Genomic DNA, 25,222 nt, shown 5'->3' on the forward strand with positions numbered 1-25,222 from the left:
GAGGCTCCTTGAGGTCTACTTTAGACATCCACTCTGTGTGGGGGTGGGAGAGCCATGAAGGAATCTGCCAATTGCCTTCTCTTTGGAAAGTTCCTCCCACCTCAACTCTCAACTTTGTATAAACTTGAAAAATAGAATTGGAAGGACAGAGAAAAATGAAGTTTAGGAGGAAACCAAAAGTTCTTCTCTGGAATCACATGGCCAAGGTCTTGGCTTCATAATCTAAGTACAGGTACCCTTCCTCACCAGGGAGGAACTCAAGAAGAGGGTGGCAGGCTGTGGGTTCAGCAGGGTTTCTATCAGGGAGCTGGAATAGAGGGTGCCAGCTCCATCACCCCTGCTCTGCCCTTCCTTCCCAACAAGGGCAACTTGAGCTAATGAGCAGAATGGAAGCTGGGAGACTGGGTGCTGGTGTGGGGTATGAGGAGTGGGGGACAGGAAGGAAGAATACAATTTTAACCATTATTCAGTAAGACACATTCCCCATGCTGGCATCACTCCTCCAAATTGGCAGTAATTGGTGCCCTCCCACCATTCCTGCCAATTGAGCAGCAGGGAGGAAAGATGGCATGGGGAGAGGAGCTGCCTCTCCTCTAGAGCGTGGATTCTAGATCCAAACTGGGCAAGCATGGGAGGGCAGTGAGGATGGCGCGTGGCGAGGAGGCTCTGGTGGGGACCTGAGGACACCCAAAGGGGTCCAGTCTCTTTCCCCTAAGGAGTCCCTAAGGTGCCTCCTTAGGACTTTGTCTTATGGAGACTTTCTGAGAAAGGCCAGGAAACAGTCTTGTTTGTCTGAGAGGCAGCATCATTCAGAGGTAAGCAGGTAGTTAAAAACTTGAGCCCCTGGTTGATATTGCATCTGGCTGGGACCCTGGACCTAGTCTTCTTGGAGCAGGGTTGCTACTTGGAGGTAGCATGGCTGATTATCAATATGGGATGCTGCCATTGAGAAGGGGAAGGCATGGAGAGACCAACCCTCTTGCCAGAGGAGGAACTGTGTGGGTTAAGAGAAGAGTCCACAGATCCTTCCGGGTGCAAATGCCAGAAGCATGAAGGGGGCCACCTCAGTAGAAGACGCTCTGGTCGAGTAGGCGAAGGAACTGGTTGTGTCTGGGCTCCATCATTTCACCTCTTTGTGCAAGTAGATTCCTCACCCGTGATGGGGTGGTGAGGCCACTCTGCGGAGGGCCCTCTTGGCCTTGATGGTCTATGATTGCAGGTCTGCAGAGCACCTATCTCCTCCTGTTTCCCACAGGACGTGGGTTCCTGCTCCCCCTGGCCTGTTCGTATTTCTCAGGAAGGTGGAGGATGGTCTCTGAGTGCCAAAAAGACGCCCTTTAGCTGTTTGAGAGGGCTCGGATGTGCACGGAAAACACTCTCCCATGTTGTTATTCAGCGGGAAGAAAGAAGAGGAAGAAAAGCAAAGGGAGAAGGTATTGTTTGGGTACAATCTGTGTTTGCAATTTTCCACATCGGTTCTTTTTATGAACGCTCCAAAAACAAGACAACAGCAGCGGCTGATTCAATATGCGCCATGCAGGAAAACAATAAGGAAAAAAATAAGGGTTTTTAATAAGCACTTGGAAAGGCTGTAATTAAATCTCCGGCTCTGTTTGGAAAACAAGAATCTCATTTAGTGCCTTTGCCCCGGCGCTCCCTAATATCTGCACCCGTGTTTTCTGCTGGGCAATTACTGTGTCCTCCGCGGCTTGATTAACAAATACAGGTGCGGGATGCGCTCAGGAGGGATATCCCAGGACGGAAGGAGGAGCACCTGCGGGGGAGGGGCGGGGGCTGCAGAAGACTTGGCTCTCACCCCAACAGCTGTCGCGGGGACCTGTGGGAGGTGGGGAAGGAAGAGTCGCAGGGTGGGGGAAGGAGGAGTGAGGGCAGACGCAGGCCCCCTGCCTCTCCTGCCTGCATTTCCTCAAGTCTCATTCCACGAAGGAGCCAAGGGGTTATGAGAACACAGAGGGCCCCTCTGGCCTAGGAGTCAGGGACTTTAGAAGAGATGACCAGATGGCCGGGCACGGTGGCTCATGCCTGTAATCCCAGCACTTTGGGAGGCCGAGGTGGGTGTATCACTTCAGGTCAGGAGTTCGAGATCAGCCTGACCAACATGGTGAAACGCCGTCTCTACGGAAAAAAATACAAAAATTAGCCAGGCGTAGTGGTGGGCACCCGTATTCTCAGCTACTTGGGAGGCTGCGGCTTGAACCCGGGAGGGGGAGGTTGCCGTGAGCTGAGATTGCACCACTTCACTACAACTTGGGCAACAGGGTGAGACCATGTCTCAAAAGAAAAACCAAACAAACAAACAACAAAAATTAAAAAAAAAAAAAGAGAGAGAGAGAGGGATGACCAGAGGAAGAAGGGACATGTCAGCAAGAGAATGGGAGCCCCGAATCAGTGGGTGTTGTGTGTCCACAGCAATTTTAAAAAACATTTTAAATTTTATTTATTTTTATTTTTAGAGACAGGGTCTTGCTATGTTGCCCAGGTTGGAGTGCAGTGGCCCAATCATGGCTCACTGTAGCCTTGACCTCCTGGGTTCAAGTGATCCTCCCACCTCAGCCTCTGGAGTAGCAGGGACTACAGGCATGCACCACCACTCCTGGCTAATTTTTAAATTTTTTGTAGAGACAGGGTCTTACCATGTTGCTCAGGCTGGTCTCCAACTCCCAAAGTGCTGGGATTACAGGTGTGAGCTACTGTGCCCAGCCTGAAAAACATTTTTCCAGCCTGGGGAATGTGGTGAGATGTCATCTTTACAAAAAATGAGAAAAATTAACTAGGTATAGTGGCATGCACCTGTGTTCCCAGCTACTTGGGAGACTGAGGTGGGAGGATTGCTTGAGTCCCAGAAGGTCGAGGCTGCAGTGAGTTGTGATTGCGCCCCTGTACTCCAGCCTGAGTGACAGAAAGAGACCTTATCTCACTCCTTGGTTGATCAGAGAGATCAACCAATGAGTGGATAAGGAAAATGTGGTATATATACACCATAGAGTACTACTCAACCATAAAATGAAATGAAATAATGACCTTTGCACCAACTTGGCTGGAGTTGGAGGCCATTATTCTAAGTGAAGTAACTCAGGAATGGAAAAGTAAGTGTCATATATTCTCACTTATAAGTGGGAGCTAAGCTATGAGGATGCAGAGGCATAAGAATAATATAATGGACTTTACTGACTCGCAGGGAAGGATGGGAGGAAGGCGAGGGATAAAAGACTACATATTGGGTACAGTGTACACTGCTCGGGTGATGGGTACACCAAAATCTCAGAAATCACCACCAAAGAACTTATCTATGTAACCAAAAACCACCTGTACCCCAAAAAGTATTGAAGTAAAAATTGACACATAGTCATTGCATATATTTATGGGGTGCATAGTAATATTTGGATACATATAATGTGTAATGATCAAATCAGGGTAATTAGCATATCCATCATCTTAAACATTGATAATTTCTCTGTGTTGGGTACACTCAAAAGCCTCACCTCTATTTGAAACTATCCAATAAATTATTGTTAACTATGGTCCCTCTACAGTGGTATGGAACACTAGAACTTATTCCTCCCATCTAGCAGTCATTTTGTAACCTATAACCAACCTCTTCCTATCCACACCTCCTCCTCACCCTTCTCAGTGTCTGGTAAACTCTCTTCTACTCTCTGCTATGAGATCAACTTTTTCTTTTAGCTTTCACATGAGTGAGAACATGGAGTATTTATCTTTCTGTGCCTGGTTTATTTCACCAACAATGTACTCCAGGCTCATCCATGTTGCTGCAAATGACAAGATTTCATTGTTTTTTGATAGCTGAATAATATTCTATTTGTGGATATATACCATATTTTCTTTATCCATTAATCTGCTGATGGACACTTAGGCTGATTCCATATCTTTGCTATTGTGACTAGAGTGGCAGTAAACATGGGGCTGTAGATATCTCTTTGGTCTACTGATTTTCTTTCCTTTGGATATATATTGGTAGTGGGATTGCTGGATCTTATGGTAGTTCTGTTTTAGCTTTTTGAGGAACCTCCATACTGTTTTCCATAATGGTTGTACAAATTTACGTACCAATACTGTGTAAGAATTCCTTTTCTCTGCAAACAGGGATATTTCTTTGCAGGAAATTAGCCAATTTGTATAGTATGTGCTTGTCCTTGCCAAGTTGTATTGAGTGGGTTTGAACTTCTACAGTTCAAAGCAGCTGCCTTGACCACAGTCCTCCACCTGTCCCATAGAAATACCATGCCTTCCCCCATGGTATTAGTCACTTTTTTTTACAGAATAGTCACTAGGGGTCAGGCACCATACTAAGGACTCTTTCTACTCTGTCACTGAATCCCCTCAACACAGTCAGAGGATAGGTGCTGCTGTTACTAGCTCTGTTTTCTGGATGGGGAAGTTGAGGAACAGAGGTTAAGTCTTGTGTCCAAGAATCACTAGCTAGCAGGAGATGGGGCCAGCTCTTGAACCCAGGCTGTCTGGTTCCAGGGGGTTTGCTGTTCACCCTGCCTGCTATGCTTGCTTATCAGAGACACTTTCACTGCTCTCTTTCTGCCTCTTGCTCTGGGTGCCAGAGTCTCAGGCATTTTAACAGAGTGCCTGCTGGGAGAGGGGAGACGGGGAACCTTGGCCAGGTTTGGGCTGGAGGAGGGGCCGAGCTTCTTCTCCTGGGGCCCTGTGTTCCAGGGATATGGTGGTGGGACTTGCACTGAGAGGCGATGCATCAGTGGGGAGCAGGGTCTGCAGTCTTGCATAAAGCTACTAAGACTTAAAGCATTTTCCAGAGGCTTTTCCAAATCTTAATGCAGTATCCAAATATTATATACTATAATGTTATAATATACTGTAACATTGATTGAGTGCTTTGTCCAGAAGTACAGCTCAGGTAGGCAGTGCCTAGAGAGCTGAAGAAATCTGTTGACTTTGATATCTTGTCCTTATTTATGGGCTCTTTTTTCAACTCTCTGAAGCAGAGCCTGAGTCCTTTGGAAACATTTGGCCTTTACTTTCCATCTTTCTGCGACCTTCAGTAAAGCATCCTCCCTCCCTGAGTCTCAAGGACAGATGGATTTCCTTGCTAGAGATTGCGTCCAATTCCATGGTGCTGCCTTATGGCTTTCCAATCCCCTACTCCTGTCACGGCTGCATCTCAGTTCTAGCCAGAAGCTGGCTCTGCCCCATCCTTCCTCAGCTCCTCCCAACAGTGCTGAGGGTACGACTCCCTGTGCCAGCTGGAAGTCACCCTATTTGGTGTGTGTGCTCATGGTAACTCTGTGCCCAGTGCCAGGCTCCTGGAGAAGAGCTGAGATTCTAGAGCAGCCAGTTCCCTCCACATTCCTTGGCATAGCTCCTCTCACCTCCTGAAATGAAGGGAAGGAAAGCTCTTGATGCTGCTCACTGCTGCCTCTTCTGAGGCTCTTGAGGCTGCTGTTGCCTGTTGCTGCTGTGGCTTTGAGGAAACAGCTTTTGAGGAGTTGTTGCCTGTGTCAGCTCAACAAAGAGAGAGAAACAGAAAGAACAAGAGTGAGAGGGAGTGGGGTGAGCAAGTGAGCATCACTGAATAGGGAAGCCAATTAATATTCTTGGAACAAACTCTCTGAGCACTATCTGCTGTCATCAGCAAGCCAATGCAAATGCTGAAAATCCAGATAAAGATGGGAGCAGCAGCTCATTCCTTTAATGCCAGGACATTCTGCTTGGTGTTGTCTTGAGAAGGTGACACAGTTAACTATTACCCTTTAGTAGTAATCACAAACTGTAGAAAGCACCTGAGTATGTCACTAATAACACCACCTGGCATGCATATTGCACTCTCTTCTGGGAGCTCTGATGGTAGAGAATGCATGGTTTCATGTACTGTTGCCGACAAACTTGGAGCTGCCATACCCGCCCTATTTTCCAGATTCACATACAGAGGCTGGGGAGATCATAGTATGTCAATGGCTAAAGCAGGTTTCTTAATCCCAAGCCATTGCTTCTTCATTGAAATTTCTTAACTATACAGGATCTTGAATTTAGGCCTCTTGGGTTCATGACAGTGGCTAGAGGTGATGAGCTAAAATCAGAAATGACTTCACTTGTAGTGTTAGTACCTTTTGGGAAGCAAAGTTTAAAAGCATGCTTAAAGGACATCAAAATAATCCAAAGAAACACAGTATGTCCCTAGGACACTCTGGGGGAAGCTGTACTTCCACACAGTCCTTTTAGTCCTTCCTGGGGAAGTGGGGGAGCTCTATCAGCCATTTAGGTGCCAGACCTTGGATAGATTCAGGTCCTCACTGTGGATTTTACTGCCTCTAGAATATGGCTCAACACCTTTTTGCTGCTAAGTAATGCAAACAAGTGTGTATCTTATTTGGATGACCTGGGTAGACCTCACACTAGCAGGAAAGAAAAGGACAACAGAGACAAACATCAGGACTATATTGGATGAGGCCTGAGCTGGCTGACCTCTAAGTTCCTTTCACACAGAAGTTTCTGTGCATCTGTGATTCTCTACATAGCTGAGTAGGAAGGAAGAAAGAGATAAATTTGAAAGCGATGTACATGTTGAGATGTGGGACGAGGTTGGTACCAATCTCCCAGAGTGACCTGGCCTCTCCCTCCCACCCACCTGTCACCCACGCTGAGGGTACCCTAGTTCTCTGAGGATGAGATCCAAGTCTGACCTAAGGGCCAAGGCCAGATAATTTGCCAATTTCTAACTCTGCAGGCCTCTCTGCTACACCACGCAGCATCTCCTCTCTTCTTTTGCCCCAATCCATGAAGCTTTTCAGCTGCTCTTCCCAACCTTCCCAAAGTTTTTTGTTGTTGTTTGACCATTGTATGGATAAGAGGATACCCAAGTCACCCCCTCTTCCCAACCAAACTGCCAGGAAGTCCAGCCACTATCAGAGAGTCCAAAACATGGAAGGTCTCACAAAGGTTTGCTGGAGTGATTTGAATTGCTGTGCCTCGACAGGGCAATGCATTTATGCTTCCAAAACTCAGCATGGGCTGGGTGTGGTGGCTCAATCCTGTAATCCCAGCACTTTGGGAGGCTGAAGTGAACAGATCACTTGAGGTCAGGAGTTTGAGATCAGCCTGGCCAACATGGTGAAACCCCATCTCTACCAAAAATATAAAACATTAGCCATGTGTGGTAGCAGGTGCCTGTAATCCCAGCTACTCAGGAGGCTGAGGCAGAAGAATGGCTTGAACTTGAGAGGCAGAGGTTGTGGTGAGGTGAGATCATGCCATTGCACTCCAGCCTGGGTGACAGAGTGAGACTCTGTCTCAAACAACAACAACAACAACAACAACAAACAAAACTCATCCTGCACAAAACTTGTTTGGGCAGGATGTTAAAATGCCCATTCCCAGGCCCAGCCCCAGAGATCCTGATTCAGCAGGTCTGGGGTGGAGCTCAGGGATTCTGCATTTTTAACAAGCTCTCCGGTTGGTGCTGCACAAATTGCAGTGTGCCATTCTTTTGTGTGATGTGGAGCCTGTGACTTTTGGGTCATGGAGGTTCTCCTTTGACTTCCTCATTAGCGCATAGTGACCTGGTTTGTGACTCTGTCTTCATGTTTCTCACAGGACTCACTTTTATGGAATTGAGCTTGGTTTTAAAGGCCTTCTTGTAGCAGAACCAGAGTTTTCTATCTCTCATTTATTCCTTAACCTGTATTGTCCCGAGTGTTCTTATTTCACCCGCAAGCCTCAGTGTTGGGAAAAAAATAGCTGTTCAGGTGGGCTTTGCCAGCACAAATCTGGAATTTTCTGTGCCCCAGTGGGGCCCTTCTTCATTGGCACAGTCGTGGTGCAGGAGGTTTTCATGTGACTTCATCCTGGGATCGGGCTAATCTCCTCCCTCAATCCTGACTCTAAGGCAAGGACTTCATCGGCAGATTCCACTGGGGACTTTGGCCACTTTGGAAGCAAAGTCTTTTTGCAGGAGATTCAGAATGATCCCTGCCCTGTGCCCTTCACCTTGCTAACCTCCTGGCTGAGGGAAGAGCATGAGTCTGAGCATGAGACTCTGTTGGGAGGAGAAGAAGCTGAGATGAACTCTGATGTATTAGAACACTGGTGGCATGGCCTTCTCAGTGCTGAGTGTGCCTAGCTTTCACCAAGACCCATGTCAAAGGCCTGAAGCCAGGTAGACCCATGGGAGTAGGATCCTTCTGGGATGTACATTGGACCAGGGAAGATTTAGAGCTTTGCCAACCTTCAGCAGTCTCCACAGGGTCCCAGGCTGGGCTCTGAGGAGGGGTGGAGGAGATTGAAAATGGTTATCCAAGGGCTCTCTTCAAGGTATGGGGAACTTCTCTCAAGCTGCATTTTGAACACTTCATTAGCTTATGGGCTGCTCTGGTGGAGTAGATTGAAAGGTTGGCTCTCAATTCATTATTTTCTGCTCTTCTACTTGCTTGCATTTTATAGGTGGGCCACATTTTTTAAATGTCTCAGTTTGCTCCTGTATAAAATAGAGAAAATCATCCCAGAATAATCATTTTGATAATAATAATAACACTGCATTCACCTGGTGTTTTTGAATACCTGCTACATGCCAGGTACTGTTTAATGGCACCAGGGATACAAGTGAGCACAACATAATTCATGCCTTCATGGAGCTTACATTCTAAAAGAGGATAGAGAAAACACAAACATAAAAATAATATTTAGTATATCAGAAAGTAATACATTTTAGGAAAAAAAAATAAAGCAGGAATGGGAGGTAGGGAGTGGTGGAGAGAGAGGTACTATAGGGTATAATCAGGGAAAGTCTTACTGATAATTAGAAGAAAGTGAGGGAGCAAGCCACATGGCTATTTTGGAGAAAGCTTCTAAGCATAGGAAATAGCAAATGCAAAGACTTTGAGGCAGCAGTATGTTCAAGCAACAGCAAGGTGACCAGTGTGGCCAGATGACAGCACCGATCATGACAATAATAACAGCAAAGCCGATGAGATAGGTACTATTTTTATCTTCATTTTGCAGGTGACTTGCCTAAGGTTATACAGCTACCATGCGGTCGAGCTTAGAGAAGACAGCTTGACTACAGGTCTTGCTCTCTTAGTCATTAAAAGGCAGGAGGTGGGAAGGAGTTTCCAGTATTTGTCAAATGCAGCCAGCTTCTTAGAGAGGGAGGGATCTATGCACATATGTAGTGGAGGGGAGGGGTGCTTTCCCTTCTCTTCTCCTACCAGTTAATCAGAGAATATGTTAGTACAACACAGTCAATTTTTATGGATACCCAGATGCAGTAGCCCTGCGTGGACCCAGAGGGAAAAAGCTTCAGAAACAAGAGAAAGAAATAGGAGCCCTGTGGCTGACTACTGAGAGAATGATTATATTTTCTGCTGCCCCTTCTGGGTTTCGCTCCCTTCTGCTGCCGTAGGCACTGGCCGTGGTGCTGAATGCTGATGTGCTGAATGCAGGGTGAACTCGTCTGTGCAAGGTGATCCTCGCTAGTGCAGCAGTCAGTATGGCGGGTGTCTGTATGTCTGATGCAGGATATTGGTATGGACAGGCGATGAGAGCTGAGAGGAAGAAGGTGTGGCAGAAGTGAGATTGGCTTGCCCATTTCTCGTTCTAAGGTTGGTTCACTGTGCACTAAGCATAATGGTTTCAGTGGTTCAGTCCTGGCGTGATGCTGGAGAGGTCGCTGTGCCGGGGCAGCAGCTGGAAGTGCCCAGGAGTGGAGTAGTGTCCATTGCTCATAGCAGCAAAGCTGCCTTTTCTGTGATCCCAGGCCATTCACATTTCCACATTTGTGCTTTGATTGTTTTATTTCTCTACGCAGGAATGTTTAAAATCTGCCTTAAATCACCTTTGATTTCATGGAGCTACATTAGCTATCTTTTTTAAAATGCATGTGTTATATGTGTAGCTTATTTCACACAATCTAAGAGTTAATCCTATTTTCTTGTCTAATCAACGTTTTCTTGAGATCACAGAAATTATTCTCCAATCTCTTTTGTAATTCTCACTGCTGCACAGTTGTGGGTACGGGACCGATTTGCAAATATCTCAGATCATTTTGGGCCTTGGCGCTTTTCAAAAGCTTCTTGTATCCTCTTCTGGATCTCTTTTTCATCGGAGTCATGACAGTATTTTCAGGGCTAAAATCTCATTTATTAAGCCGGTTGATTTTTTGAGACATCAAATAGCCATCTATATGTTGAGCATTATAGAGGAGGGGTGGGGATATGTGGCTGAATGATGAGGAGGCAAGGGTGAATAAAATCAAAGGGACAATATTTATGGCCCTTAGCAGGAAGGGCAACTATGTTACATTTTGTGGGTTAATTATAAAAATTATACATTGCTTTGGCTTGTCCCCAACTGCTGCCCCAGACAGCAGCCTGTTGGGTTATTGGTCTTCTGTGGATGCATAGTTTGAGTGCTTGAGTTATTGACATTTAGCCATATCTTTTTTTGAAGGAGATATTACCTCATTGTTCTAGTTCTTTGGCCTGGATATTTGGATAGAGTCAGTAAACATGATCCTGCCTTGGGGGAATCCAGGTTCCTCCTCTCCTGGAATCAGACAGAAAGGAACAGAATGAAAGAAGAGCTTTTGATCAAGAATGACCCTTCTTCATCAACTCTGTCCATGTGGTGACCCAGGTAAATGCTGCCAATACCTTTCTCCATGATCTTTCTTAGAGACTTGGCAGGTGCTTTTGTAATTTGGACAACAACAATGTATTAAGTAACAGAACTTTTTCTCAGCTCTGGGAGAAACTTGCAGATGTTTCATGACTGTGGGGATATCACAGAAAAAGCATTAAACTTTCCAGCATGCCTGGGCCCAATATTAATCACCTGTCAGCCAGGAATCTTGGTGAGCAGGAAGGAGAAAATGAGGTGTGTGTGTGTGTGTGTGTGTGTGTGTGTGTGTGTGTGTGTATGGAGGGGTGGGGGATGGAGGGTGGTGAGAGGCTGAAAGATAGCACTCCAGGAGCTAGGCCAAATGAAGAGTACAGGAGGTGAAGGAAGGAATGCTGAGAAGATAGTCAAGTGGAAAGAAAAGCAGATGAATTGGGGAGGAAAGTGAGAGACATTAAAGAAGGTATATGGAAAAATGAAGTGGGGGCAGAAGATGCAAGATGGATGTGAGAATTATTTGAAAATAAAATGGTATTGAAAAGTGCAATGTCATTACAGGTAGGCACACAGAGGTATTGGAGAGGAGATGGCATAAAAGAGGGAGAAGAAAAACAAAGATGAGCAAGAAGGATATTGAGATAGATTGAGAACAGACAGGCAGAGAAAGACACACACAAAGAGGAAATGAATATTCTAGGGTCATAAGAAACCAGGGACTAGAGATCTTGTGACATCAACAGAAGGCAGAGACTGCAAGACAAAAGGCAACTTAAGCCATTTCCTGGTCTGTTAAGTCACCCACGGCAGCACAATGTGCTGAGAACTGATGTCTGCCTGTGATCATTGTTTACTTAGAAAGCCAGCTGACATGAGATGAAATTAACACAATAGGATGGAAAATTGCTAATAAAACAAAAATCCCTGCCGTTAGATTTTCATAGCCTAATTATTCAGCACGTTACTCACTAATGGCATGAGACATTACCATGCTAATGTGTAGTCTGCATATGTCAGAGGAGGAAGGATGGGAAGGACTCTTATTCTCTGCAAATGGAGAAATTACCTACTCCCAGATGGAGGACTGTTGGGATTAGTGGGATACTGGTGGCCAGGAAAGAGGGGTAGACTTTTCTAGGCCTGGGCAGGAATCAGAACCCTAGGGTTTGTTCCTCTGTACTAATAAAGCACCATGGGCTCTTCCAATCCAAGCTGCTCTCTGCATTCACCATGTGTCCCTCCCATTTGAGAATCACATTACTGACACGAATAAGATTTGAGCACAAATAATAAGAAAGAAGAGCTGTCTCCAAGTGCACTTGATAACTGTGGAAGCCTGACTTTGTTTACACTTTTACTTGGCATCCTCTGATCATTATCTGATTCAAATCTTATGGAGTTAATTTATTCTTGTGGCTTTTATTTAAATCTGTTCTGTTATGTTAAGAGGTATTCTAATTGTCCTTGACAGAGTAAAAAGATCCCAGAGTCAGGGACTGTATATTCTACTTTCTTAGAAGCTCTTTATTCTGTCCATTTATGCATCCAGAGATACAGACATTCATTCAATACTGGCTGAAAGACTATCCCTGGACCATGTGATAGAATGCAAAGAAAAACAGAAACCATTATTTTCCTCAAGATAACCACAGGCTCTTGTGGGGTGCGAGGTTGGTATGCAAATTACTAAGGGAGGTGTTCAACCAGGGAGACACTGGAAGAGCGAGCACAGGCAAGTCCCATCTTCGTGGAGGAAGGCAGCAGGGCTATAGCTCTGGAGGAGCGGTTCTATCGTCTTCAGCCTTAGACAATCCTGGAACCATAACCCGTTTCTAAGATGGGCAGTCTGATGATGGAAGGGCTGCCTGAATGCGAGTATGTACGTGCTTGCACATGATTGTGTGCTTACTTGATTCTGTCCCCTTACTGTTGTTGGCTCTGGTAGTTGTAGCTCTCCTCTCCTCCTTTTCTCTGGAAACAGAAACATCTTTTTCCAACAAGAAGTCTATTCCATATTGATGCTATAGGACCAAGCTACAGTGACCATGCAATCAGTTCAAGGAGGCCTATGTGACCTGGGGTTGATCAACTAGAATCCTCAGCATTCTTCCAGGACTTTGCTGGGACCAGTGGCAGAGGTATTCTTTTTCTCTCTGTGCTTCTGTCTCTGTCTCTCTCTTCCTGAAAGAGCTAACTTTCTGAAAGTTTGGGATAGATTTAACTCCCTGTATTAGTCCATTTTCATATTGTTCTCAAGAAATACCTGAGACTGGATAATTTATAAAGAAAAAGAGGTTTAGTGGACTTGCAGTTTCACATGACTGGGAAGGCCTCCCAATCATGGTGGAAGGTGAAGGAAGAACAGAAACACGTTTTACATGGCAGCAGGCAAGAGAGCATGTGCAGGGGAACTGCTCTTTATAACACCATCAGATCCCATGAGACATATTCACTATCATGAAATCAGCATGGGAAAAACCTGCCTGCATGATTCAATTACCTCCCACCAGGTACCTCCCATGACCCATGGGGATTATGGGAGCTACAATTCAAGATGAGATTTGGGTGGGGACACAGCCAAACCATATCACACCCTAAGCGAATTTTTTAGCATGCGGGAGAAAATTGCCTGAGAATAAAATCAACTCAGAAAAGCGAGAGAGAGAGAGAGAGAGAGAGAGAGAGAGAGAGATAGAGATAGAGATCTAATGATATTTTTCAAATTAATTCCTTAATTCTGAATCTGGACAGGAATTCTTGGCATTCTCTTTGTGCTTAAGCTGGTTTGAGTTAAATTTGTCACATGCAAATCAAGTAGTCCTTGTCACACTTTTTCTTCCACACATCTCAGGTTTTGAATGCTCAAGGCATTCTTGGCCACTGTGAACAGAATGAGACTTTATAATTCTTTACAATGAATGTGTCCTTTGTAGCCTGCCATCTGCCTTTGTGGTGGCAGGTGAAGAGACAGGTCAAGCCCCTTGCTGAGCAACACTCAATGGAGTGAAAGCTGGTACAGAGGTCCTTGATCTGCTTACCTACAAAGGCTTTTTGAGGCATACTTTTCCCAATGTTTCTTCTGTTTCTCTTTGGACTTTTTCCCTCTTGTAAATTGATACTGAGGGTATGAAGCCAAGGAAGAACTTCATAAAAGCGCTAGGTTTTTCAGGAGGGATTTCAGAGTGAAGAAGCAATTAAGCAGGTGGAGCTTGCTCGAGATATATCAATGACACTAGCAAGGATCAGTGGGCTTGGAGAGCCTTTGCCTCTGAGCAGCCAGAATGTGTTTCTATGTGCTGGCGCAAAAGTGTCCTGTGCACAAGTGTCCTCGTGATGATGTTGGACCAGGAGAAGGAACTAGGAAACAAGGGGTGGTAGTCATTAGGACTAATGACTAGAATTTGGATTTTTCTTTTTCTGGGCACATGATAAAATTGCATTCCTACCACTTTTAAAGCTAGGTGTGGCTGGATGACTTACTCATAATGAAATGTGAGCAGAAGCAATGTGCCTTCTCTGGTGCATCATATTTAAGAATGATTGAACGATTTCTCCACTCTTTCATGAAGACTGGTGATATTCAAGACGAGATTTTCATCAACCAGGCTGCCCCTGAATAAGTCTGTACCAGTTTCCTGAATAAGGAAAAAGCAGCCAATTTTGGCATGAACATAAAGTGTGATCAAGAAATAAACCATTGTTATTTTAAACCATTAAGTTTTTTTTTTTAAATTAATGAACTTTATTTTTTAGCACAGTTTTAGATTTACAGAATGGCCAGGCACAGCGGCTCATGCCTATAATTCCAGTGCTTTGGGAGGCTGAGGTAGGAGGATCCCTTGAGGCCAGGGGTTTAAGACCAGCCTGGGCAAAATAGTGAGACCCATCTGTACAAAAAATAGAAAGAAAATTAGCTGGATGTGGTGGCATGTGCCTGTAGTCCTAGCTATTCAGGAGGGTGAGGCAGGAAGATTGCTTGAGATCAGGAGTTTGAGTTATAGTGAGTTATGATCATGCTGCTTCATTTGCACTCTAACACGAATAACAGTGTGATTTTGTCTTAAAAAAAAGATTTACAGAAGAATTGAGCAGACAGTTCAGTGTTTCCATGTATCTCCCCTACTGACATATTCCCTATTATTAACTTCATACATTAGTGTAGTATATTTGTCACAATTAATGAACCAATACTGATATATTATTATTAACTAGAGTTCATAGTTTACATAGAGGTTCACTCTTTGCATTGTACAATTCTGTGAGTCTCAACAAATGCATGTCATATACCCATAATTATAGTATACAGAATCCTATTGCTGCTTTAAAAATCTTCTGTGCTTCACTAGCTAATCCCTCCCCTACCCAGAACCCCTGGCAACCACTGACTTTTTAATGTCTATATAGTATTCCATTTTCCAGAGCGTCATATAGTTGGAATCATACAGTATGTGTCCCCTTCAGACTGGCTTCACTTAGCAATACACATTTAAATTTCTTTTATATATTTTCATGGGTTGATAGGACTTTCTTCCTGTCACTGAATAATATTCATTGTATAGAATATGGTTTGCTTATCCATTCACCTATTGAGTTACACCTTGGTTGCTTCCAGTTTTTGCAGTTATGAATAAACTTCTATAAACATTTGTTTTTAGGTTTTATGTGGGCAAAGTTTTCAAGTCAGTTGGGTAAATACCTAGGAGTGTGATTGTTGGATTGTATGGCAACACTATGTTTAAGCCTTGTAAGAAACCACCAGATTATCTTTCAAAGTGGCCACACCATTTTGCATTGCCACTGAATAATATTCCTGCCAATATTTGGTATTGTCAGGTTTGTTTTTCCATTAGAATAGGTTTTTAGTGGTATCTCGTTGTTTTAACTTGCACTTCTCTAATGGCATATGATGTTGAGCATCTATTCATATACTTGTTTGCCATCTGTGTATCTTTTTTGGTGGGGTATCTGTTCGGGTCTTTTGCCAGTTTTTAAAATGAGTTGTTTATTTTCTTATTATTGAGTTTTAAGGATTTTTTTCCCCTTTTGGCTACAAGGCCTTTATCAGATATGTGTTTTGTGAATATATTTTTCCAGTCTGTGGCTTGTCTTTTCATTCTCTTAAAAGTTTCTTTTGCAGAGCAGAAGTTTTGAATTTTAATAAAATCTAAGTTGCCAATATTTTTTCTTTTCTGTATTCCTCTTTTTTTTTTTTAATCTGAAAACTAATCTCCAAACCCAAGGTCACCTAGATTTTCTTCTACATTATCTTCTAGAAGTTTTATAGTTTTACATTCAGGTCTATGATCCACTTTGAGTTAATTTTTTGTGAAAAGTAGAAGGAAGGTCTGTGTCTAGATTATTCTTTTTCTAAGGATATCCAATGTTTTAGTACCATTTATTTAAAAATCTACGATATCTTTTTTTTTTTTTCTTTTTTTTTTGAGACAGATTCTCAGTCTGTCGCCCAGGCTGGAGTGCAGTGGTGTGGTGTCGGCTCACTGCAGCCTCTGCCTCCCAGGCTCAAGTGATTCTCTCAAATCAGCCTCCTGAGTAGCTGGGACTACAGGTGTGTACTACCATGCCTGGCTAATTAAAAAACCTTGTAGATACACGGTCTCACTATATTGCCCAGGCTGGTCTCAAACTCCTGGGCTCAAGCCATCTTCCTACCTCAGCCTCCCAAAGTGCTGGGATTACAGGTGTGAGCCACCACGCTTGGCCTAAAAATCTACTATTTCCTCATTGAATCTCCTTTGCTCCTTTGTCAAAGATAGGTGGTCTGTATTATGTGGGTCTGTTTTGGACTCTTTTATGTTCCACTGATTTATTCTTCTATTGTTCCTCCAATATCATGTTGTCTTGATTACTGTACCTTTATTAGCAGTGTTAAAGTCAGGTAATATCAGCCTTTTGACTTTGTGCTTCTTCAGTATTGTGTTGATTATTTTGTCTTTTGCCTTTCCATATAAACTTTAAATCTTTTTTTGATCTTCACAAAATAACTTGTTAGGATTTTGATTAAGACTGCATTCAATCTATAGATCAGTTGGAAAAAATTGACATCTTAACAATATTGGGTCTTCCTATCTATGAACATGGAACACATTTCCATTTATTTAGATATTTGATTTTTTATCAGACTTGTATTGTTTTCCCCAAATAGATTCTATATTTATTTTGTTAGATTAGAACCTAAGTATTTCAATTTTTTGGTGCTGACATAAGTGATGAATTTTTAATTTTATAATCCATTTTTTCCTTGTGGGTATATAGGAAAGCAATTAAATTTTGTATATTAGCCTTGTATCGACAATCTTGCTGTAACTGCTTTTTGATTTCAAGACTTTTTTTTTGTTTTTTGGTCAGTTCTTTGGAATTTTCAACATTGACAATCATCACATTTGCAAACAAAGACAGTTTTATTTCTTCCTTCTTTATCTGTTTAATTTTTTTGTTCTTTTCTTATCTTACTGTCTTAGCTAGGACTTCTAGTATGATGCTGAATAGGGTGGTGAGAGGAAACCTCCTTTCCTTGTTTCTGATTTTCAGGGGAAACCATCTAGTTTCATCATTAAATATAATATTAGCTGTAGGGGTTGGCAAGCTTTCTTTTTTTTTTTTTTTCCATTTCACTGATTTTTTATTAGAGCAAGTGTATGTTCTGTAACGTATTTCACTAGCAAGCATGAAAGAGGAGGTCTCTCTCTCTCTCTCTCTCTCTCCACGGGCTGCTCCCAGGGTCTGGTCACAATATGCCACCACAGTGGGGGCAAATCACCTTCCTTTCCGGCAGGTGGCGTTTCCTCCTGCAGCTGCTTAACCTCTCTTTTCCAGCTTTCCCTCCGCAGTTTCTTCCACTGTTTTCTCTTGGCAAAGTAATCAGGATACATTGCCTTCTCAGAAGGATGCCAGTCATCTAAGCACCATTCTGGGACCTTGTAGCACTCGTGTGTCACATAGGAGGTACCCCTAGGAGAGTCAGGGAAGATGCATGGCTGTGGATGCTGATGGTACCAGAATTCTTCCTCAGCCTCCTTCAGCAGCCGGATGGCCTTCATCATATCCTTTTCGTTCGTATGTTCTTCAGACTGGGCTCTCATCAAACAAGCAAAGTATCGGTATTTGTCCCTGTGGATGCAACACAACTCGAGGTGGCACAGCACCCACTTTTAAAGCCTCAACACCTTCTGCTGATGGGTCAGGCAGGCAGCCGGCGTGGAGAACGCCACGACTGCGCTGACCTTCAGCGGCCTCGAGGGTAGCCAGGCGACTTTCTTTATTAAGGTAAGGAAGTTTCTTTCTATTCCTAGTCCACTGATTTTTTTCCTTAAATCATGAATGGGTGTTTGATTTTGTCAAATGTTTTTTCTGCATCTATTGATATGATTATATATTTTTCTTCTTTAGCCTGTTGAGGTGATGGATTGCATGAAGTGATTTTTGTTTATTTATTTATTTTTTGAGACTGAGTCTCACTCTGTCGCCCAAGCTGGAGTGCAGCAGTGCAATCTCGGCTCACTGCAACCTCTGCACCGCAGGTTCAAGCGATTCTCTTGCCTCAGCCTCCCGAATAGCTGGAATTAAAGGCACACACCACCACGCCCGGCTAATTTTTGTATTTTAGTAGAGACGGAGTTTCACCACGTTGGCCAGGCTGATTTTGAACTCCTGACCTCAAGCAATCCGCCCGCCTCAGCCTCCCAAAGTGCTGGGATTACAGGCGTGAGCTACCATGCCCGGCCTGAAGTAATTTTTGAATGTTGAGCCAGCCTTGCATACCTGGAATAAATCTCATTTGTCGTGGTGTATAATTCTTTTTCTACATTGTTGGATTTGATTTACCAATATTTGGCTGAGAATTTTTACATCTGGGTTCATGAAAAATATTGGCCTGTAGTTTTTCTTTCTTTCTTTCTTTTCTTTTTTTTTTTTTTTTGAGACAGAGTCTTGCTCTATTGCCCAGGCTGGAGTGCAGTGGCACGATCTCTGCTCACTGCAAACTCCGCCTCCCGGGTTCACGCCATTCTCCTGCCTCAGCCTCCGGAGTAGCTGGGAGTACAGGCGCCCGCCACCGCGCCCGGCTAATTTTTTGTATTTTTAGTAGAGTCGGGGTTTCACTGTGTTAGCCAGGATGGTCTTGATCTCCTGACCTCGTGATCCGCCCGCCTTAGCCTACCAAAGTCCTGGGATTACAGGCGTGAGCCACTGCGCCCGGCAGTTTTTCTTTCTTATAATGACTTTCACTGGTTTGTTTTGATATTAGGACAATGCTGACCTCATAGAATGAGTTAGAAAATGTTCTGTTTGCTTCTATTTTCTGAAAGAGATAATAGAGAATTGGTATGATTTCTCCCTTAAATGTTTGGTAGAATTCACTAGTAAAACCATCTGGACCTGGTATTTTCTTTTTTTGGAAGGTTATTAATTATTGAGTCAGTTTCTTTAATAGATATAGGTTTATTCATATTCTATGTCTCCTCGTGTGAGTTTTGGTAATTTATTCCCATCAAGGGATTGGCCTATTTCATATATTTTATCAAATTTGTAGGCATAGAGTTGTTTATATTCCTTTATTATACCTTTAATGTTTATGGGATCAGTAGAAATAGCTCTTCTTTAATTTCTAATATTAGTAATTTGCAGTTTAACTAGAGGTTTATCAATTTTACTCATCTTTTGAAAAAAATTAGCTTTTGATTATACTTTTTTTTTTTTTTAACTAAAAAGTAAACTTTAATGTCGAAAGTGCAAACCTGGGGAGGACAGAAAAGATCACACACAAGGTTGTCACTTCACACTTGGAAGGTTGCACAGCGGCCGGGCAGAGGCGCTCCTCACTTCCCAGACGGGGCGGCGGCCGGGCAGAGGCGCTCCTGACTTCCCAGATGGGGTGGCCGGTAAGAGGCGCTCCTCACTTCCCAGGCGGGACGGCGGCTGGACAGAGGTGCTCCTGAGTTCCCAGATGGGGCGGCGGCCGGGCAGAGGCACTCCTCATTTCCCAGATGGGGCGGCGGCCGGGCAGAGGCGCTCCTGACTTCCCAGATGGGGTGGCCGGTAAGAGGCGCTCCTCACTTCCCAGATGGGGCGGCGGCCGGGCAGAGACGCTCCTCACTTCCTATACGGTGGGCAGCTGGGCAGAGACGCTCCTCACTTCCCAGACAGGGCAGAAGCTGGGCAGAGGTGCTCCTCACTTCCCAGACAGTGGGCAGCTGGGCAGAGGCGCTTATGATTATACTTTTAAACTAGCCTTTATTATGCTTTTAATGATCATGAGATCAGTAGAAGTAGCTCCTCTTTTATTTCCAATATTAGTAATTTGTAACTTGACTAGAGGTTTATCAATTTTACTGATCTTGTGAAAAAACTAGCTTTTGATTTTGTTGATTTTTCTCTATTGACTTCTTGTTTCAACTTCCATTGATTTCTGCTCTAATATTATTATTTTGTATTATGCTTCTTTGGGTTTATGTTTCTATTTTTTCCTTAATTTCCTAAGGTAGAAGCTTAAATGATTGATTTTAGATCTTTTTTCTTTTTTAATGTGTGATTCAATGTTAGAAAATTTCTTCAAAACCCCACTTTTGCTGCATCCCATAAATTTTGATCAGTTGTATTTTCATTTTCATTTAGTTCAAAATATTTAAACATTTATTTGGAAAAATCCAGTCAACCTGGGATGCAATAGAACTATGAGCAGGAGAGAAGCCATATTGTTTTAAGCCACTAGGGATTTTTTTTTTTTTAAACTGTAGAAAACTTAGCCTATCCTGCTGGTAAATGAGGACAAAGGATTTTGTAAGTATAGCAGTCACAGTGTGTATTTCAGGCAACATAAACCAAATCTGGTTGATTTAAGAACGCACAAAAAAGAATTTATTAAAATGAGTATTGGTAGTTCAGAATATCTTCAGGAGGCCTAGAGTACCTGCATTGTGGGCTACACACCTGGAAGCAATGTTCCTAATCATGCAACAAAACTAAGGCAGTGAAGACACCATTGTTGCTGCAGTCCAGCACTGATGCTGTGATTGCCCTGCAGACACCTCCGACACTGGATGCTGCCCTGGGAACCTGGGAGTAGCTGCTGCTACACATCAACAGAGTGAATTCTCTCAGGTCCTGCCTCTTCACAATTCTTGCTTCCAATATAATGTCTGGGAAGGTGCCTATAGGTTAGTTCAACAGAAGGAAAACATCTGCTATAGTAAGCAACAAAATGATATAATTGAAAGAGCTCTAGACTGCAAGATGACCTGGGATGCAGTCCAGATGCTCAGTATGGTGAGCCTGAGCAAACCCCTTTGCCTTTCAGAGCTTGTAGGGTGGCATGAGGATGAAAGGAGATCAGTGGTTTGAGGGCAGTAAAACTTTCTATCAATGTACGTTATTATGTGTTTGCGTGACCAGGTGTGGTCAGCACAGTACCCAGCAACTAACCCACCACTAGGCACAGACTGGGCACTCAGTATTTAGAGCAAATAAAAAGTCTAAGCTTGTTCAGGTTAAAGATCTTGACCTCTCAATTTCTATCTTCCCTGCTAGAATGTAAGGACTTTTCTAGGGGTTTTTGTCTGCTTTCTTCAATGCCGTAGCTCCAGCTATAAAAGCATGGCCTAGAAGAGTGGGCCCTCAATAAATATTTGTTGAATGAGTGAATGAGTGAGGGAAATGAATGAATATCTCAATTCTGTCATCTGAGACCAGAATGTTTCTAGCCCAGACGCTTATTTCTAAGTTCACCTAGGAATGTTCTTCCTGACTTAGTTCTGCCCTTCTTCAGCTGCTGTAAAGGAGCTTCAAAAAAGTGTCCAACTGTCCAAGAAGCAAACTTCTGTCATTGTTTCTCTGTCACTGTCTTATGATAAGATCCTGCTGGGTGCTTTGAAAGGAAATTGGCCCCAGTCTCTACAATATTCTTTATAGCCCAATGACGTCTTTGCTTTTTTAGCTGTACTTTTCTCTTTCCAGTCTGGGTTATGATTTTCCCTTGCTCAGCTGGCCCCTAGCATAACTAGTCTAACTGCATCACGATCTACCTCTTACTGACAGTGATCAGCCCATAAAAGGACTGCCATTTGACTTATCCTAGTATCATACCCAAAAGTCACATCCTGACCACAGCGAACACAAGATAAAGGCTATTGGGCCTAGAAAAGACTTTGGAAGTCATCCAAGCTTGCTTCTTTTGAGGGAGACTCTGCATTTGCTGTTTCCTCTGCCAGCACAGCATCGTAGCATCTCCCCTTGAGATTTCGATGGCTAGCTCCTTCTTGTCATTGGAGATCTCAGTATAAAATTCACCCCCTCACACAGGTCTTCCCTGAGTGCTCCATCTGAAATAGCTACCCAGGACCTCTCCATCATAAGACTACATTTTAATTATCTGTCTATTGCTTACCATGATTTCACATACATGTTTATTCATTTATTCATCATGCAAGCAGATTAACAGCTCCTGGCACATACTGGGAGCTCAATAACATTTTTTGAATGAATAAATTCAGTTCAAGCCCCTGGGAAACTCAAGCCCAGAGAAGAAAAGTGACCTTAACAAGGTCACACAGCTCCTTAGTGGAACAGCATGGACTAGAACCCATGACCCTTGACTCTTGTCCAGTGCTTTTCCCACCATGCCAGTTTTCATAGATAAAGATAAAAAGAAGGAACATCTCTTGGGCCCCCAGTAGGTGTCAGTTTCTGTGGTAGTTGCTCTATACATGTCAGTCAAATTATCCTTATGATGACCCTATAATGTAGGTAGAGTTCAGATTTTTATAAATAAGGATAGAGAGTCTTTGCGATGCTAAGTAATTTGCCAGGTATCCCACTGCTATGGAGTGAGAGCTGGGATCTGACCCTAGCTTGGTCCGACTTTCAAGTTTTTTGTACTGCTTCAGCTGCGTGACATCTCCAGGTAACATTTGTGCTTTATTAGTATTTCTGTACAGTAAATCTAAGCAGTGAATAATAGGGAAATTTTAGGCACAATGGAAGGCTGACAGAAGGCATGGGGTAGGGAGGCTACACAGATTTCCTGTTGCCCTTCAAATCACACTGTAGAAGTGACATCTGTCTCTTTGTCTCACAAGTGAGGCTTACTGCTCTAGAGTCCTGGGATGCAACTGTCACACTGTGTGGGTAGCCTCCAAAGGTGTGTGATGCGAATGGCAGCTCTGCCTGGCTCCATTCAGTTTTCTCCTTGGGAGGACAAAGAAAATTGCGATGTGTGTAATTGATGCCCAAATGGCTAGAAAATAAAACATCTCATCAATGATTTATATATTTCCAAATATAAAATAAAACTTGTAGACCAAATGCTAACAGAGCCCATGCAGCCCTTGGTTTCTTCCACCTCTGTTTACAGCCTGAATCCCACATTTTTTTCTGGTTCTACCCATTCCTTTTTCCTCTTGAGCTCATGTTGCATCTACTTGGCTGACTCCTAACCTTGGGAAACTTATTTGTCCCTTTCCCCTGCTCTTTCTCCAGGTTGCAGAGTATTTTTGGAGTAATCACATAGCTCTCATCAATCTATGTTCTCTTGCTTCACCTGGGCCTTTGATGCAACTTAATGGAGTTTTTGCTCTGCTCTGGTTGCTGGTCTCTTCCCGTCCTCACTGTTGTAGTTAAAGCCATTCGTGATGCATTTAAAGATTTGAAGATGCTGGTCCAAGTGCACACACCTGGTTTGACAGTGTAGAGGGAGCTGCAGGACTCAGGGAAAGGTGTTCTCAGCACCTATAACAGTTTCTCAGGTAGTGGCAAAGAAAAGAATGGTAAGAAGATTCTGGCAGTTCCCTGGGCTTTTATTATAAAAATCCAAAAATGGCCTCATGGGCTCAAACTCTAGTAAAGGATTTAAGGGTCATTGTATTAGAGACTGCGGTCTTCCTTCCCTTGCTTGCTATCTCACTTTCCTTCTTTCTTTCCACAAAAGTTATGCACCTACTATGTGCCAAGCACCATTCTAGTTTCTGGAAAAGAAAAGCTAAAATCTCTGATATCCTGGAACTTTCATGTGGTAGTTGACTATCGTCATGTACTTTCTAAGGTGAAGCACCCTGAGTTCCTTGCATCCCAGGCACCCATTTGTTGGCTTCTCCTCCACTCATTAAGCTTAGTTACATTCTTGGGCTGTAACAACCTCTTGGGGCTCAAGTCTAGTTCACTAGATTTCTTTTTTTCAGAGACAGTGAAGAAGAAAGGCAAAAGCAATAAGCATGCAAAGAGAAGATACACCTGTTCAAGACAGAAACCCTCAAAGCAGCTCTTGTAGCAAACCAAACATTAAAAGTAATTTTGGTTGAGCTGAGATCTCCCTGAACTCAAAAGCACAGGTGTAGGGAGATGAGAGGGAAGAATTATCTCGGAGATACAGTAATAAGCTAATACAGTGTACATGACAACTTAGGGACTGAGAATTCATAAATATATTCATGTTTTCTTCCCAGTCAAATTGATTAAATATCCAAGCACAAAGACTGAAAGAGAGATTGAAACAGCAAGAGAGAGAAAGGAAAAGTGAGCTACAGAAGTTCTGGTAAAACATATCAACTCTGGACAAAGACTACTTCATCAAACGCATAAACAGCCACTGCCTGATACATTAGAATCTGGAAGTATCATAAATTAACTGCCAAGAAACTTTGCGAAAGGTCATATTTAACATTAATCAAGCTCTGGTAGTGGATATTTCCATGGCTAGAGGAGAGAGGAAAAGAGAGACTGCTTTCTCTGCATTGCATTTTCAAAATCACTTTCTAATTTTTCAGCAAGAGAAGAAAAAACCGATTTCTAGCTGACTTAGGGACAGAGATTTAATTCTCTCATCACCTGGGCATCCCTCAAATGTGAGTATTGAGGCATATGAAGGGAGGGGGCATGGCTGTTTATTTTCTGATTAAGTCCTTTTGAGTGCTTTCAGCCACAAGGTAGTCTTATTTTGAAAAGTGCCCACACATAGGTAAAGGGATGCCTGTGGAAGCCACCGAGTAAATGAGCAGCTTAGGAGCGGGGACACAGTCAACAGAAAGTTGAAGGAGAAAGAAAATGAACAATTGTCCTGTTGGCAGCCAGTTTGGGACAGAAGCCCACTTTCTTTTAGGCTATGGGATCTTGAGCCAGGATCTAAGACGCTGGGTCATTTAGTAGGACCATAGGAGATACTGGACTGACCATTCCTGGGTCTTAGCATCCCCTTCCTCTGAATGGGTGTGATAACATTTACCTAGAGAGTGGATAGCTAATGTGTTTACTCATCTTGGTGGGAAAGCAGTACCATAAATCCAGATCATTAATTTTCTGTGTCTTCTCTAAGATGACCATTTTCTTGATCTGACTTTATATAGATGATCTGTTTTTATTGCTGGTTACTTCAGATGCTTATCTATTCCTTTCTTGTCAATTGCCTTTTTTGATTGGAGATTCTAATTTGTCCCAAGACTGAGCTACGTTTATATGTGCTAAACTTATTCAACAGATAGTTAAGAATTTGCTTCATGTGTCAGGCTCTTATTTACATGCTGAGGGTGCAGCTGTGAACCAAACAGACAGAACTTTCTTCCCTCATAATACATAAATAAATAGGCTAAGAAACCCATTACATGGC

General features: G+C 43.2%; 1 pseudogene, besides 1 other annotated feature; it reads right to left on the reverse strand.

The window, feature by feature from the left end:
* Positions 9,328–9,528: a silencer, noted in NCBI's record as "peak6729 fragment used in MPRA reporter construct". NCBI's record gives its function as "represses an SCP1 promoter by STARR-seq MPRAs in K562 erythroleukemia cells {active_cell/tissue: K562}" and the evidence as "EXISTENCE:reporter gene assay evidence [ECO:0000049][PMID:32103011]".
* Positions 17,239–17,886, reverse strand: NDUFB9P2 (NADH:ubiquinone oxidoreductase subunit B9 pseudogene 2; annotated as a pseudogene).

This window comes from Homo sapiens, chromosome 7 (genome assembly GCF_000001405.40).
Source record: "Homo sapiens chromosome 7, GRCh38.p14 Primary Assembly".
Lineage (NCBI taxonomy): Eukaryota > Metazoa > Chordata > Mammalia > Primates > Hominidae > Homo > Homo sapiens.